At 39.3% G+C, this 15,579-nt stretch overlaps 1 pseudogene; it reads right to left on the minus strand.

Moving 5' to 3' along the window:
- Positions 1-15,579, minus strand: part of PARP4P1 (poly(ADP-ribose) polymerase family member 4 pseudogene 1) — a 39,988-nt pseudogene that overhangs the window by 3,900 nt on the left and 20,509 nt on the right.

A 15,579-nucleotide genomic window follows, 5' to 3' on the forward strand; every position in this document is an offset into this window, starting at 1 on the left:
TTTTAAAGTCATCTTAAATTAATTTCCAGGCTGGGCATGGTGGCTCAGGTCTGTAATCCTAGCAGTTCAGGAGGCTGAGGCAGGAGGATTGCTTGAGTTCAGGAGTTCGAGACCAGCCTGGGTAACATGGTGAAGCCCTGTCTTTCCAAAAAATATAAAAATCAGCAGGGCATGGTGGTGCATGCCTGTATTCTGAGTTACTTAGGAGGCTGAGATGGGAGTATGGCTTGAGCCCAGGAGGTGGAGGTTGCAGTGAGCTGAGATTGCACCACTGCACTCCAGCCTGGGTGATAGAGCCAGACTTTGTCTCAACAAACAAATAAATAAATATCAATCTTATCCATTATTACATAAAATATTTACATAGTCCCAAAGTCAAAACTGCAAAACGAAGCACACTAGGAGAAACCTAGCTTCCATCCTTGTCCTCTCTACCAAACCTCCCTTGCAACGGTATTTTTATTAGTTTGATTAGTTTTCCCCTTATCTTGCCTTTAAAAGAACATAAGCCAATTACATTGTATGTATATGTGTATATGTGTATGTATGTGTATATGTGTATGTATATATTTATATATATGTGTATGTATGTATGTACATATGTGTATGTATGTGCATATTTGTATGTATATGTATACATGTGTATATGTGTATGTATGTACATATGTGTATGTATGTGCATATTTGTATGTATATGTATACATGTGTATATGTATGTATGTGCATATGTGTATGTGTATGTGTATGTATGTATATGTGTATGTATGTGCATATTTGTATGTATATGTGTATATTTGTATGTATATAATTATATATACATGTGTATATGTGTATGTATGTGCATATGTGTATGTATATGTGTATATGTGTGTGTGCATATGTGTATGTATATACGTATATATACAGGTGTATGTGTGTATGTATGTGCATATGTGTATGTATATATTTATATATATACATGTGTATGTGTGTATGTATGTGCATATGTGTATGTATATGTGTATGTATGTGCATATTTGTATGTATATAATTATACATGTGTATATGTGTATGTATGTGCATATGTGTATGTATATGTGTGTATGTGTAGGTATGTGCATATATGTATGTATATGTGTATGCATGTGCATATTTGTATGTGTATTGTATATTTGTATGTGTATAATTATATATACATGTGTATAGGTGTATGTATGTGCATATGTGTATGTATATGTGTATATGTGTATGTGTGTGCATATGCATATGTATATACTTATATATACAGTGTATGTGTGTATGTATGTGCATATGTGTATGTATATATTTATATATACATGTGTAAGTGTGTATGTGCATATGTGTATGTATATACTTATATATATACATGTGTTTATGTGTATGCATGTGCATATGTGTATGTATATGTGTATATGTGTATGTATGTGCATATGTGTATGTGTATACATATATATGTATGTCAGAGGGATCATACTCTGGTCATGCCCCTCTTGCCATGGGGTAGAGGGTCTGTATGGACCAGAGAATGTGCCCACCCTGGAGCCCACATCCTCCTTTTTAGACCTGCAACTCCAGCGTTCCTGACCACATGGCCCTGAGTCCACTTCCAGGGTCTTCCCTGGTCTGTCATCCTGAGTTTGAACAGTGCTGCCATCTCACTGGTGCTGCAAGGTGGCTGGGGTGAGGGGGCAATCGCATGGGGTCTGGACGGCATTTTGATGGGTGGGGTGGGGTATTCATGTGTGCTGGCAAGGCCTCTTAGGGTGCTAAGGGTCAGCCAAGGGCTGAATTTGAACCTGGTCTTCCAGGTGGTTATAAAGTTGTATTTGCCAAGGGAGGAGATTAGGACACACTTCTTAATCTAATAGTTTGCTAGATTGATTTATAACTTTTTAAATACTTGTATTTTACAAACTATAAAGTTATAAACTTTAAATACTTGTATTGTATTCTTGTCCCAGGCCCTGCCATTGTTGGGAAAAGGGCGGGGCACAACAGTCACATTATGGGTTTTCTGGAGGCACCCAGGATCAGCACACTGCAGTGAAGAGTACCATATCCAGAGCCAGAAGGGCCGGGGTCCAGGGGAGCTACACTGAAACTCTTTGAGCCCATTTCCTTTGCAGCCTAAGGCACAAATACCACATCAGCCCTGCCCACCACAGGAGACTTGGGCAAGCTGTCACCTGAAAAAAATTACCTTCCTACATACTTATAAAGTAGTCTACACATGTAAGATAATTCCCTATAGCTTGTTTGTAAGGTTTATTAAATAAATAGTTGAAAATATAAATAAGTTGCATAATACTATAGTTAAAGCCACCTGGAAATAGAAGCATATTCCAGTTCCATCAGTGATTTGAACACTATTCCCTTTTTTTCCAACCTGGTGCAAATAAACTGTAATATTGCTTTGTGGCAATTAGGTCCAGGAGATGTTCTCTTCTTTTTATACCTAAAGGGGAAAAAACTGCGTTAAGTCTGTTGGAAACTCTGCATCTCAAACTGCCTTCTTATAAAATTCCCATTAAAGAATTATAATACAGCTAAATCACAGGACATGAGCAGATGGTGAAACTCTCTAATACTCTTCAAGGCCCTTAATTAGCTTGCTATTTAAATAAATGAGGATGGTTGGAACCGTGTCCCTATCATAGTATCCTGATGATTGTCAGGAAACTGACCTGTATCCAGAGGGCCCCTCGCTTGCCATCTTCAATAACCAGAGAGGTATGAAGTTCAATGAAAGAAATCCAGTTTTTAGGCTCTTGTTACAAATAGCTTAGAAAGGTAAACCTAAATATTCAACAGACAAACAAGAGTTATGACCAGTTACACTGGTGTATCAAGTTATTTCTAGTGGTTAGTACCTACAGGTATCCTAATCAAGATCTTTTACTATATTATGAAATATCAAAATTGAAAAATGAATGTTTACATATGTTGAACTCAGAATTAACAACCATTTTTATTTTAAAAAGGCAAGCTTCATTTTTTTTTTTTTTTTTTTTTTTTTTTGAGAGAGAGGGGCTCACTCTGTCACGTTGGAGTGCAGTGGGTGTGATCAGAGCTTACTGTAGCCTCCAACTCCTGGACTCAAGTGATCCTCCTACTTTGGCCTCACAAAGTGCTGAGATTATAGGCATGAGCCACAGCATACAGACAAAAAGTGGTTTTAGGGAAGGAAAAAAAACCTTTGTCTTATAATTAAGAATATACGGGGGGAGGAGGCAAGATGGCCAAATAGGAAAAGCTCCAGTCTACAGCTCCCAGCGTAAGCAATACAGAAGATGGGTGATTTCTGCATTTCCATCTGAGGTACCAGGTTCATCTCCCTAGGGAGTGCCAGACAGTGGGTGCAGGACAGTGGGTGCATGAGCCAAAGCAGGGTGAGGCATTGCCTCACTCTGGAATTGCAAGGGGTCAGGGAAAGGGCTGGTCAAGTACTGGTGAAGGAAAGGGCTGACAGAAGGCACCTGGAAAATCGGGTCACTCCCACGCAAATACTTTGCTTTTCCGATGGGCTTAGGAAACGGAGCACCAGGAGGTTATATCCGGCACCTGGCTTGGAGGGTCCTATGCCCACGGAGTCTCACTGATTGCTAGCATAGCAGTCTGAGATCAAACTGTATGGTGGCTGCAAGGCCGGGGGAGGGGCCAGGCTCACTTAGGTAAACAAAGCAGCCGGGAAGCTCGAACTGGGTGGAGCCCACCACAGCTCAAGGAGGCCTGCCTGCCTGCCTCTGTAGGCTTCACCTCTGGGGGCAGGGCACAGACAAACAAAAGACAGCAGTAACCTCTGCAGACATAAATGTCTCTTTCTGACAGCTTTGAAGAGAGCGGTGGTTCTCCCAGCACGCAGCTGGAGATCTGAGAATGGGCAGACTGCCTACTCATGTGGGTCACTGACCCCTGACCCCCGAGTAGTCTAACTGGGAAGCACCCCCCAGTAGGAGCAGAATGACACCTCAAATGGCTGTGTACTCCTCTGAGACAAAATTTCCAGAGGAATGATCAGACAGCAGCATTTGCAGTTCATGAAAATCCGTGGTTCTGCAGACACCGCTGCTGATACCAGGAATACAGGGTCTGGAGTGGACTTCTAGCAAACTCCAACAGACCTGCAGCTGAGGGTTCTGTCTGTCAGAAGGAAAACTAACAAACAGAATGGACATCCACAACAAAATCCCATCTGTACGTCACCATCATGAAAGACCAAAAGTAGTTAAAACCACAAAGATGGGGAAAAAACAGAGCAGAAAAACTGGAAACTCTAAAAAGTAGAGGGCCTCTCCTCCTCCAAAGGAACACAGTTCCTCACCAGCAATGGAACAAAGCTGCACGGAGAATGACTTTGAGGAGATGAGAAAAGAAGTCTTCAGACGGTCAAACTACTTCTAGTTACAGGAGGAAATTCAAACCAAAGGTGAAGAAGATGAAAACTTTGAAAAAATTTTAGACGAATGTGTAACTAGAATAACCAATACAGAGAAGTGCTTAAAGGAGCTGATGGAGCTAAAAGCCAAGGCTCAAGAACTACGTGAAGAATGCAGAAGCCTCAGGAGCCAATGCGATCAACTGGAAGAAAGGGTATCAGTAATGGAAGATGAAATGAATGAAATGAAGCGAGAAGGGAAGTTTAGAGAAAAAAGAATAAAAAGAAACGAACAAAGCCTCCAAGTAATATGGGACTATGTGAAAAACCAAATCTGCGTCTGATTGGTGTAACTGAAAGTGATGGGGAGAATGGAACCAAGTTGGAAAACACTCTGCAGGATATTTTCCAGGAGAACTTCCCCAATCTAGCAAGGCAGGCCAACATTCAGATTCATGAAATACAGAGAACACCACAAAGATACTCCTCGAGAAGAGCAACTCCAAGACACATAATTGTCAGATTCACCAAAGTTGAAATGAAGGAAAAAATGTTAAGGGCAGCCAGAGAGAAAGGTCGGGTTACCCACAAAGGGAAGCCCATCAGACTAACAGCAGATCTCTTGGAAGAAACTCTACAAGCCAGAAGAGAGTGGGGACCAATATTCAACATTCTTAAAGAAAAGAATTTTCAACTCAGAATTTCATATCCAGCCAAACTAAGCTTCATAGGTGAAGGAAAAATAAAATACTTTACAGACAAGCAAATGCTGAGAGATTTTGTCACCACCAGGCCTGCCCTAAAAGAGCTCCTGAAGGAAGCACTAAACATGGAAAGGAACAACCAGTACCAGCCACTGCAAAATCATGCCAAAATGTAAAGACCGTCGAGATTAGGAAGAAACTGCATCAACTAACGAGCAAAATAACCAGCTAACATCATAATGACAGGATCAAATTCACACATAACAATATTAACTTTAAATGTAAATGGACTAAATGCTCCAATTAAAAGACACAGACCGGCAAATTGGATAAGGAGTCAAGACCCATCAGTGTGCTGTATTCAGGAAACCCATCTCACATGCAGAGACACACATAGACTCAAAATAAAAGGATGGAAGAAGACCTACCAAGCAAATGGAAAACAAAAAAGGCAGGGGTTGCAATCCTAGTCTCTGATAAAACAGACTTTAAGTGAACAAAGATCAAAAGAGACAAAGAAGGCCATTACATAATGGTAAAGGGATCAATTCAACAAGAAGAGCTAACTATGTTAAATATATATGCACCCAATACAGGAGCACCTAGATTCATAAAGCAAGTCCTGAGCGACCTACAAAGAGACTTAGACTCCCACACAATAATAATGGGAGACTTTAACACCCCACTGTCAACATTAGACAGATCAATCAGACAGAAAGTTAACAGGGATACCCAGGAATTGAACTCAGCTCTGCACCAAGCGGACCTAATTGACATCTACACAACTCTCCACTCCAAATCAACAGAATATATATATTTTTTTCAGCACCACACCACACCTATTCCAAAATTGACCACATACTTGGAAGTAAAGCTATCCTCAGCAAATGCAAAAGAACAGAAATTATAACCAACTGTCTCTCAGACCACAGTGCAATGAAACTAGAACTCAGGATTAAGAAACTCACTAAAAACCGCTCAACTACATGGAAACTGAACAATCTGCTCCTGAATAACTACTTGGTACATAATGAAATGAAGGCAGAAGTAAAGATGTTCGTTGAAACCAACGAGAACAAAGACAAAACATACCAGAAGCTCTGGGACACATTCAAAGCAGTGTGTAGAGGGAAATTTATAGCACTAAATGCCCACAAGAGAAAGCAGGAAAGATCCAGAATTGACATCCTAACATCACAATTAAAAGAACTAGAAAAGCAAGAGCAAACACATTCTAATCTAGCAGAAGGCAAGAAATAACTAAAACCAGAGCAGAACTGAAGGAAATAGAGACACAAAAAACCCTTCAAAAAATTATTGAATCCAGGAGCTGGTTTTTTGAAAGGATCAACAAAACTGATAGACCTCTAGCAAGACTAATAAAGAAGAAAAGAGAGAAGAATCAAATAGATGCGATAAAAAATGATAAAGGGGATATCAGCACCAGTCCCACAGAAATACAAACTACCATCAGAGAATACTACAAACACCTCTGTGCAAATAAACTAGAAAATCTAGAAGAAATGGATAAATTCCTGGGCACATACACTCTCTGCAGACTAAACCAGGAAGAAGTTGAATCTCTGAATAGACCAATAACAGGATTTGAAATTGTGGCAATAATCAATAACTTACCAACCAAAAAGAGTCCAGGACCAGATGTATTCACAGCCGAATTGTACCAGAGGTAAAAGGAGGAACTGGTACCATTCTTTCTGAAACTATTCCAATCAATAGAAAAAGAGGGAATCCTTTCTAACTCATTTTATGAGGCCAGCATCATCCTGATACCAAAGCCGGGCAGAGACACAACCAAAAAAGAGAATTTTAGACCAATATCCTTGATGAACATTGACACGGAAATCCTCAGTAAAATACTGGCAAACCGAATCCATCAGCACATGAAAAAGTTTATCCACCATGATCAAGTGGGCTTCTTCCCTGGGATGGAAGGCTGGTTCAATATATGCAAATCAATAAATGTAATCCAGCATATAAACAGAACCAAAGACAAACACCACATGATTATATCAATAGATGCAGAAAAGACCTTTGAAAAAATTCAACAACCCTTCATGCTAAAAACTCTCAATAAATTAGGTATTGATGGGACATATCTCAAAATAATAAGAGCTATCTAAGACAAACCCACAGCCAATATCATACTGAATGGACAAAACCTGGAAGCATTGCCTTTGAAAACTGGCAGAAGACAGGGATACCCTCTCTCACCACTCCTATTCAGCATAATGTTGGAAGTTCTGGCCAGGGCAATTAGGCAGGAGAAGGAAATAAAGCGTATTGAATTAAGAAAAGAGGAAGTCAAATTGTCCCTGTTTGCAGACGACATGATTGTATATCTAGAAAACCCCATTGTCTCAGCCCAAAATCTCCTTAAGCTGATAAGCAACTTCAGCAAATCTCAGGATAGAAAATCAATGTACAAAAATCAAGCATTCTTATACACCAATAACAGACAGAGAGCCAAATCATGAGTGAACTCCCATTCACAATTGCTTCAAAGAGAATAAAATACTTAGGAATCCAACTTACAAGGGACATGAAGGACCTCTTCAAGGAGAACTACAAACTACTGCTTGATGAAATAAAAGAGGATACAAACAAATGGAAGAACATTCCATGCTCATGGGTAGGAAGAATCAATATCATAAAAATGGCAATACTGCCCAAGGTAATTTATAGATTCAATGCCATCCCCATCAAGCTACCAATGACTTTCTTCATAGAATTGGAAAAAACTACTTTAAAGTTCATATGGAGCCAAAAAAGAGCCCTCATGCCAAGTCAATCCTAAGCCAAAAGAACAAAGCTGGAGGCATCACACCACCTGAATTAAAACTATATTACAAGCCTACAGTAACCAAAACAGGATGGTACTGGTACCAAAACAGAGATATAGATCAATCGAACAGAATGGAGCCCTCAGAAATAATGCCACATTTCTACAACTATCTGATCTTTGACAAACCTGAGAAAAACAAGCAATGGGGAAAGGATTCCCTATTTAACAAATGATGCTGGGAAAACTGACTAGCCATATGTAGAAAACTGAAACTGGATCCCTTCCTTACACCTTATACAAAAATTAATTCAAGATGGATTAAAGACTTAAAACTATAAAAACCCTAGAAGAAAACGTAGGCATTACCATTCTGGACATAGGCATGGGCAAGATCTTCATGTCTAAAACACCAAAAGCAATGGCAACAAAAGACAAAATTGACAAATAGTATCTAATTAAGCTAAAGAGCTTCTGCACAGCAAAAGAAACTACCATCAGAGTGAACAGGCAACTTACAGAATGGGAGAAAATTTTCGCAACCGACTCATCTGACAAAGGGCTAATATGCAGAATCTATAATGATCTCAAACAAATTTACAAGAAAAAAACAAACAACCCCATCAAAAAGTGGGCAAAAGATATGAACAGACACTTCTCAAAAGAAGAAATTTAGGCAGCCAACAGACACATGAAAAAATGCTCACCATCACTGGCCATCAGAGAAATGCAAATCAAAACCAAAATGAGATACCATCTCACACCAGTTAGAATGGCAATCATTAAAAAGTCAGGAAACAACAGGTGCTGGAGAGGATGTGGAGAAATAGGAACACTTTTACACGGTTGATGGGACTGTAAACTAGTTCAATCATTGTGGAAGTCAGTGTGGCGATTCCTCAGGAATCTAGAACTAGAAATACCATTTGACCCAGCCATCCCATTACTGGGTATATACCCAAAGGACTATAAATCATGCTGCTATAAAGACACATGCACACGTATGTTTATTGTGGCACTGTTCACAATAGCAAAGACTTGCAACCAACCAAAATGTCCAACAATGATAGACTGGATTAAGAAAATGTGGCACATATACACCATGGAATACTATGCAGCCTTAAAAATGATGAGTTCATGTCCTTTGTAGGGACATGGATGAAATTGGAAATCATCATTCTCAGTACACTACTGCAAGGACAAAAAACCAAACACCTCATGTTCTCACTCATAGATGAGAATTGAACAATGAGAACACATGGACACAGGAAGGGGAACATCACACTCTGGGGACTGTTGTGGGGTGGGAGCAGGGGGGAGGGATAGCATTAGGATATATACCTAATGCTAAATGACGAGTTAATGGTTCAGCACACCAGCATGGCACATGTATACATATATAACTAACCTGCACATTGTGCACATGTACCCTAAAACTTAAAGTATAATAAAAAATGTAAAAAAAAAAAAGAATATACAATTACCTTTTTTGAGTAAAGACAAAAGGACCTGGCAGAGTATGCACATATCTGCATATACACCATTAATTTTACATCACTGAGGTAGCCAAAACTGCTCATAAGAGGGCTTTTATTAAATAATATAGTGTTCTTAATGGAGGAAAAAGAACTTAATAAATTTTTAAAAACAAAATAAGAAACTAATCCATTGTCCCACAAAAGAAAATCAATGGAGACAAAAGCAGTTTAATTTGCTGAATTCTTTTGTGGCTTATTTTTGGGGTATTATTTACAAAACGTTAGACTGATTTTTAAGCAATATTAATAATAGCAGCATACAACTCCAAGACTAATATAATAAATAATAAACTGATGAAGTGCCTAATGTGTATCAGTGTTATTTAAAAAACAAATGCAGAAGGAGAAGGGATGATAAAAGAGAAATGAAGAAGAGGATAAAAGACAAAGTTGGGTACAGAGATAAAAAAACTAGTCAGAGAAAAAAATCAGACAGCTTGAGACTCTACGTAGAGGAAGAAAGACAGAAAAGCACACACTTACAGAAAAATAACATGGATAATAGGGAGCAATACAGTGAAGCACAGGAAAAGCCCGTGGAAAAGGTACATTCATGAAATCTGATCCCCTTGCATCTGTGACTCAATTTTCTCCAGTTTTCCTCTTGTTTCTCAGGCTGCTTCTTCTCTGCGTCTTTGATGTTTCTTGTCCAGTCTGAACACTAAACCCTGCTGTGCAGCAGACTGGTCCTAGCACCTGCTCTGCTCAGACCACCTTCTTTCTTTGGGTGACCTCATCCTGAGCCAGGCTTTAAATACTACTGACATTGAGAATTCTTCCAGGCTTTTCCAATTCTGACCTCTTCCCTGAGCTCTAGCCTCACATGACAATATATTTATCTTGAATTTTTATCTCACTCTGTCACCTAGGCTGGAGTGCAGTGGCACAATCATGGCTCAGTGCAGCCACAACATCCCAGGGCTCAGGTGATTATCCCACCTCAGCCTCCCAAGTAGCTGGGACCATAGGTGCATGTCACCATGCCTGGCTAATTTTTATATTTTTATAGAGATGGGGTTTCACCATGTTGGCCAGGCTGGTCTTGAAATCCTGATATAAAGTGATCTGCCCCCTTTGGCCTCCCACAGTGCAGGCATTACAGGTGTGAACCACTGTTCCCAGTTTATCTTTGGTTTTCAACAGTTTGACTCTGGCCTATCTAAATATGGTCATTTTTTTAATTTATCCTGCTTGGAGTTCTGTTGAGTTTCTTGGATCTGGAAGGTGCTGTCTTTGATCAATTTTACAAAAATATTCAAATATTTTTCTGTCTACCCTTTCATTTTCTGAAACCCTAGTTACACAAATGTTAAACCTTTTGATATCATTCCACAGTCTTGGCTCTTCTCTTTTTTCATTCTATTTTTTTTCTTTCTGTATTGCAGTTTAGATAAGTTTATTGAGTACATTGTAAATTGAATTAAATGATTTCTTTCCTGTTGTGTCCATTCTGTTGTTAAGCTCATTCAATGACCTTTTCATTGCAGATACTATATTTTCCAATTCTAGGATTTTCATTTGGTTCTCCTTTATAGTTTCCATCTATTTGCTGAGATTCTGCCATTTATTCACCCATTCCATCCTTTTCTGGTAAATCAATCCTTCACTATATTTTTAAAAACAGCTTTAAAGTCTGTGTCTGCTAATTCTAATATCTGGGTCATCTGTGGGTCAGCATTTATAGCCCATTTTCCCTTTGATCACAAATCATATTGTCTTGCTTCTTCTTATGTTATCAAATTTTCATTCCATACTGACCATTAAAAATGACACCTTGTAGAGACTCCCAGCTACGCTCTCTTACTCTAAAGAGTGTTCAGTTTTGTTCTGGTGGGTCCTGTGTATGCTTTGTTTTAGGCTTTATTAGGATGGGTCTATTTTGGTTTATCCCTTTGTCCTGGGATATAGTCCTTGATCATGAGATATGATCCTTATGACCCTTTTATGGTTTCAATGGAAAGATATTCATAAAGTCTCTCTAATTTGGTGCCACTTGAACTGTAAACTCTGGCCAGTACTAGGCAGCAGCTGAAATCTCTGCTTAGCTCTGTAGCTTCCCAGCTGTGACTTTTTTCTGGATTCCTTGAGGTTGCACCCCATATAGGTAGAGGTTAGGAGACAGCCAAGGATCTGAGGGATATTTGGATGCAGATTTCAGAGCTCCCTGCTCTGTGGTTCCCTCCTTTATAGGATTTTAATCCTTAACTTCCAGCCACTTTGGCAACCTCAAACTCCAACCCCGTGTCCTCATCCCATTAAGACTTTCTGTTGTAGTTCAAACCTCCCACTGTGTCTCATGAGCTGAGAAATGCCTTTCGGTGACAAGCTGGATTAATGTGGAGCCCACCTAGTTGGCTTCCTTTCTTTCAAAGATTATTTTCACTCTAGTTTCTGCCTGTTTTTGATTATTCTCCTGGCTTTCAAAGAATGGTTTTAAATATTTTATTCAAAGTTAATAACTGTTATTGGCAGGAGAGTTAGTCCGATAGCGGCTCTTCTATTATTCCGGGATCAAGCACTCACTCTTCATGTAAATTGTCATCACCCTTTTTTGGCCTAGTGCAGGTCAAACAGGCTATGCATTTGCCCACCCACCCAGCCTGGAATACAAAAATTCTAGCATTTTAGAAGTGATGGTGGCCAGTGAGACACTGCTGTTCTATCTTTTCATGAATATTGGCTAGTTGTTTAATAATGTGTATTTTATTTTAAAAAATCCCCAGGCTGAGTATGGTGGCTTATGCCTGTAATCCCAACAGTTTGGGAGGCCAAGGTGGGCACATTGCTTGAGCTCACAATTTCGGGACCACACTGGGCAACATGGCGAAACCCCATCTCTACCAAAAAATACAAAAATTAGTCAGGCATGGTGGCAGGTGCCTGTAGTCCCAGCTACTCAGGAGGCTTAGGTGGGAGGATCCCTTGAGCCTGGGAAGTGGAGGTTACAGTGAGCTGAGATAGTACCACTGCATTCCAGCCTAGGCAAGGGATCCAGACCTAGTCTCAAAACAAACAAACAAACAAACAGCTCCTGTCCCAGGGCTAGCATTTGACCTTCAAACCACTTGCCGGGTCAAGGATGCTCAGGATTTCCTTACCTATCTCCTTGTTGTCATGAAAGGAAACAGGTCCAGAGGTTGAAAAACTGCCTCTGGCAGAGGCTGGCTAGGTGCTCACCAGAGCTGTTTTCTCCTCCTGGACACTCAGCTTAACAGTACATTTCTCAGGCCTTCGTATATGGATGGGGCTATGTGACTAGTGTTCTTCCTCTTGTCTAGCAGGGGGATGATGCCAGGGTAATCTTTGTTCTTCTCTCTTACCAGGATAATTTTAAAGACATTTATTGAAGATGGTGGAGCCACAATATGGAAGGAGTCAAGGTCTCTAAATGACCACATAAGTGGAACTTTCTTCCTGACCAATATTTGACTGGGATATGGACAAGAAAGTAATCTTTGATTATGTTAAGCTACTGAGATTTCTTTTTTACAGCAATTGGTGCTATTTATGCTAATAAATGTGCACAAACAATACCCTAGTTAGCGGCAAAAATATTACTAGAACCAGATCTCCCATTTCCTTTAATGGTTAAATATAATTCCATTCAAATATAACTTTCATAATTATTACATTAGTAAACTCATTTACATAATAGTTTATAACGATTAGGAGCATGCTTATGAATGAATGAAAATCATGACTTAATAAATGGAAACATAGTGACTTACCTACAATTTCAATGCCTTTTTGTTTAAGCTGTGCAAAGCATTTGTATTAAGATTTAATATAAATTGCAGTTCTGGTGTAAGTTTTCAGAAGCCATCATACAAAATTAAGAAAACAAAGGTAAGTTATGTTATTGACATTTTATGACATAAGAAGTTAGGTAGTGGGGGAGGGAGAGGGGCAAGGTTTGAAAAACATATTTTCACTACTTGGGCAACAAGACAATTAGAAGCCCAAACCTCAGCAACACACAGTATGCCCATGTAATAAACCTGTACATGTACCTCTGCATCTAAAATAAAATTTTAACAAATTAAATGAAAAAAGAAGCTATGAGATAAATATGTTTCCATGTATTGAATTTCAGTTAATTACAGCATTTCTAACATTTTTATTACTGTAAAATAAGGTTCTTCATACACTAGTGACATAGTATTGTTTGGAACCTCATAAACGCTATGAAGACTACATATGTGGTGGCATTTATAAAAAGTGTGGAAAGAGACTCATGTGTAGAGATTTTTTTAAATCGTACTTTTTTTCTTCTAGCAATGCTTTATTTCATTTTTTATTGGTACGTATTTTGGGGTTCACATGATATTTTGATACATGCATAGAATGTGAAATAATCAGGTCAGGGTATTTAGGATCTCCATCAGCTTGAACATTTATCATGTATTTGTGTTGGCAATATTTCGAATATTTTCTTCTAGCCATTTTGACGTATACAATGTCTTGTTAACTATAGTCACCCTACTGCATTATCAACTAGCAATGAGCATTGAACCGGTATTTCTCAAACTTTTAAATAGCATGATTCCCTCTTTAAAAAAAACCCACTTTACTGAAATATGACTGGCATACAAAAAGTCACCAATATTTTATGTATACAACTTGATGTGCTTGGAGTTAAGTATACACCTGTGAAAACATCAAACCATCAATCATCAATGCCATGAACTTAGCCACCACTCCCAGAACTTTTCTTCCACCCCTTTTGTTTTGTTTTGTTCCCTTTTGTGGAAAAAGTGCTTAACATAAGATAGACCTCTTAGCAAATGCTTAAGTATACCATATTGGATTGTCAATCATAGGCCCTGTATTGTACAGTAGATCTCCAGCATGATTCCTTTTGTTTAACATAAAAATGTACCCTGATGTAGTCTGAAACATGAAAATGACAGTTTTTTCTAAGTATAAAATTGTTATATTAAACACGGACTTTAAAACTAACTTCCCTGCACCCCCCCAACATCTGCCTGCTTCATCACATGCAGAGGAGAGTGTGCTAAGCCTGAGCTTGGGGATATTAACCTCAACGGAGACAGAATCCAGGGAAACCAACACAGGGAGCAGAAAGCAGGGTGTGGCCCTAGGCAGGTGCACAGGTTTAAGGGCCTATGGCAATAATTTGAAAAATTACAGCAGTGATAATATGTGCCATCCCATAGAGAAATGGTACCAGGTGCTGTTCTTTTATATGTTTAGCCACTTCCTGTGGAGCACTATTATCACACCCACATTGCAGATGAGAACACGGAGGCAGAGAAAGGTGAAGTAATTGTCTAAAGTCTCACAGCTAACAAGCAGCAGAGCCAGGAGTGGCTGTGGGATCCACACTCTTGACCATCTGCAGTATGCTCCCAGCAGGCTTTTGGGTGCACTGTCTCAAGTAGGGAAACTGGGCAGCTGTGATTATCCTGTTTAAACCCCAAACCCACTCTGTGAAGTAGACACTATCATTATCTCCACTATATGGATGAGGAAACTGAGGCTCAGAAAGGTTACCTGACTTGCCCCAATCACAAAGTTGGCTGGGACTCAGGCTTACTTTTATGCTGCATCAAGCCCTTTCCGTTTCACTAAACTACTTTACACCAAACCAAGTAATCACAGATGCAGGACTGGGTCTTAGTACCAGTGCAGGGGCCAAATCTACAGGGTGTTTATTAGCTTAACAAATGGAGTGATAAGCTCTAACACAATATACACGTTGAATAATATCTGTATTCCCATGACCTTATGTGAAAATATTTAGAGTACAAGTACAAGTGCTTGTGCTCTACTTCACAGTGTGAAATTTATGTGGATTACAATCCATTAGTTCTAGAATCTAGGAAATTAAGATCTCACCCCATCATCTGTTCAGAGATCTTCATTTTCATGTGAGGAATAGAAACATTCACCAGCATGAGGTTCTGGTCTAATGTTGGTAGAGAAACACCAGCCAGCATCAAGCACACTGTTTCATCCAGCTGTCTGTTTTGTTTTGTAGCAAGAGTTCCTCAATGAGTGAAGCAGTATGATTTACACCCCAGTGCACAAGCCCCTTCCTTCACTACAGACTGACGATAGACAGTTCCTTGACCAGCTGCTTTGAGGAGCCCCATTCTAAACTATGAAGCCAGCTAACCACAGATTTAAGGAGAAATAAAA

Source organism: Homo sapiens, chromosome Y, assembly GCF_000001405.40.
Source record: "Homo sapiens chromosome Y, GRCh38.p14 Primary Assembly".
NCBI lineage: Eukaryota > Metazoa > Chordata > Mammalia > Primates > Hominidae > Homo > Homo sapiens.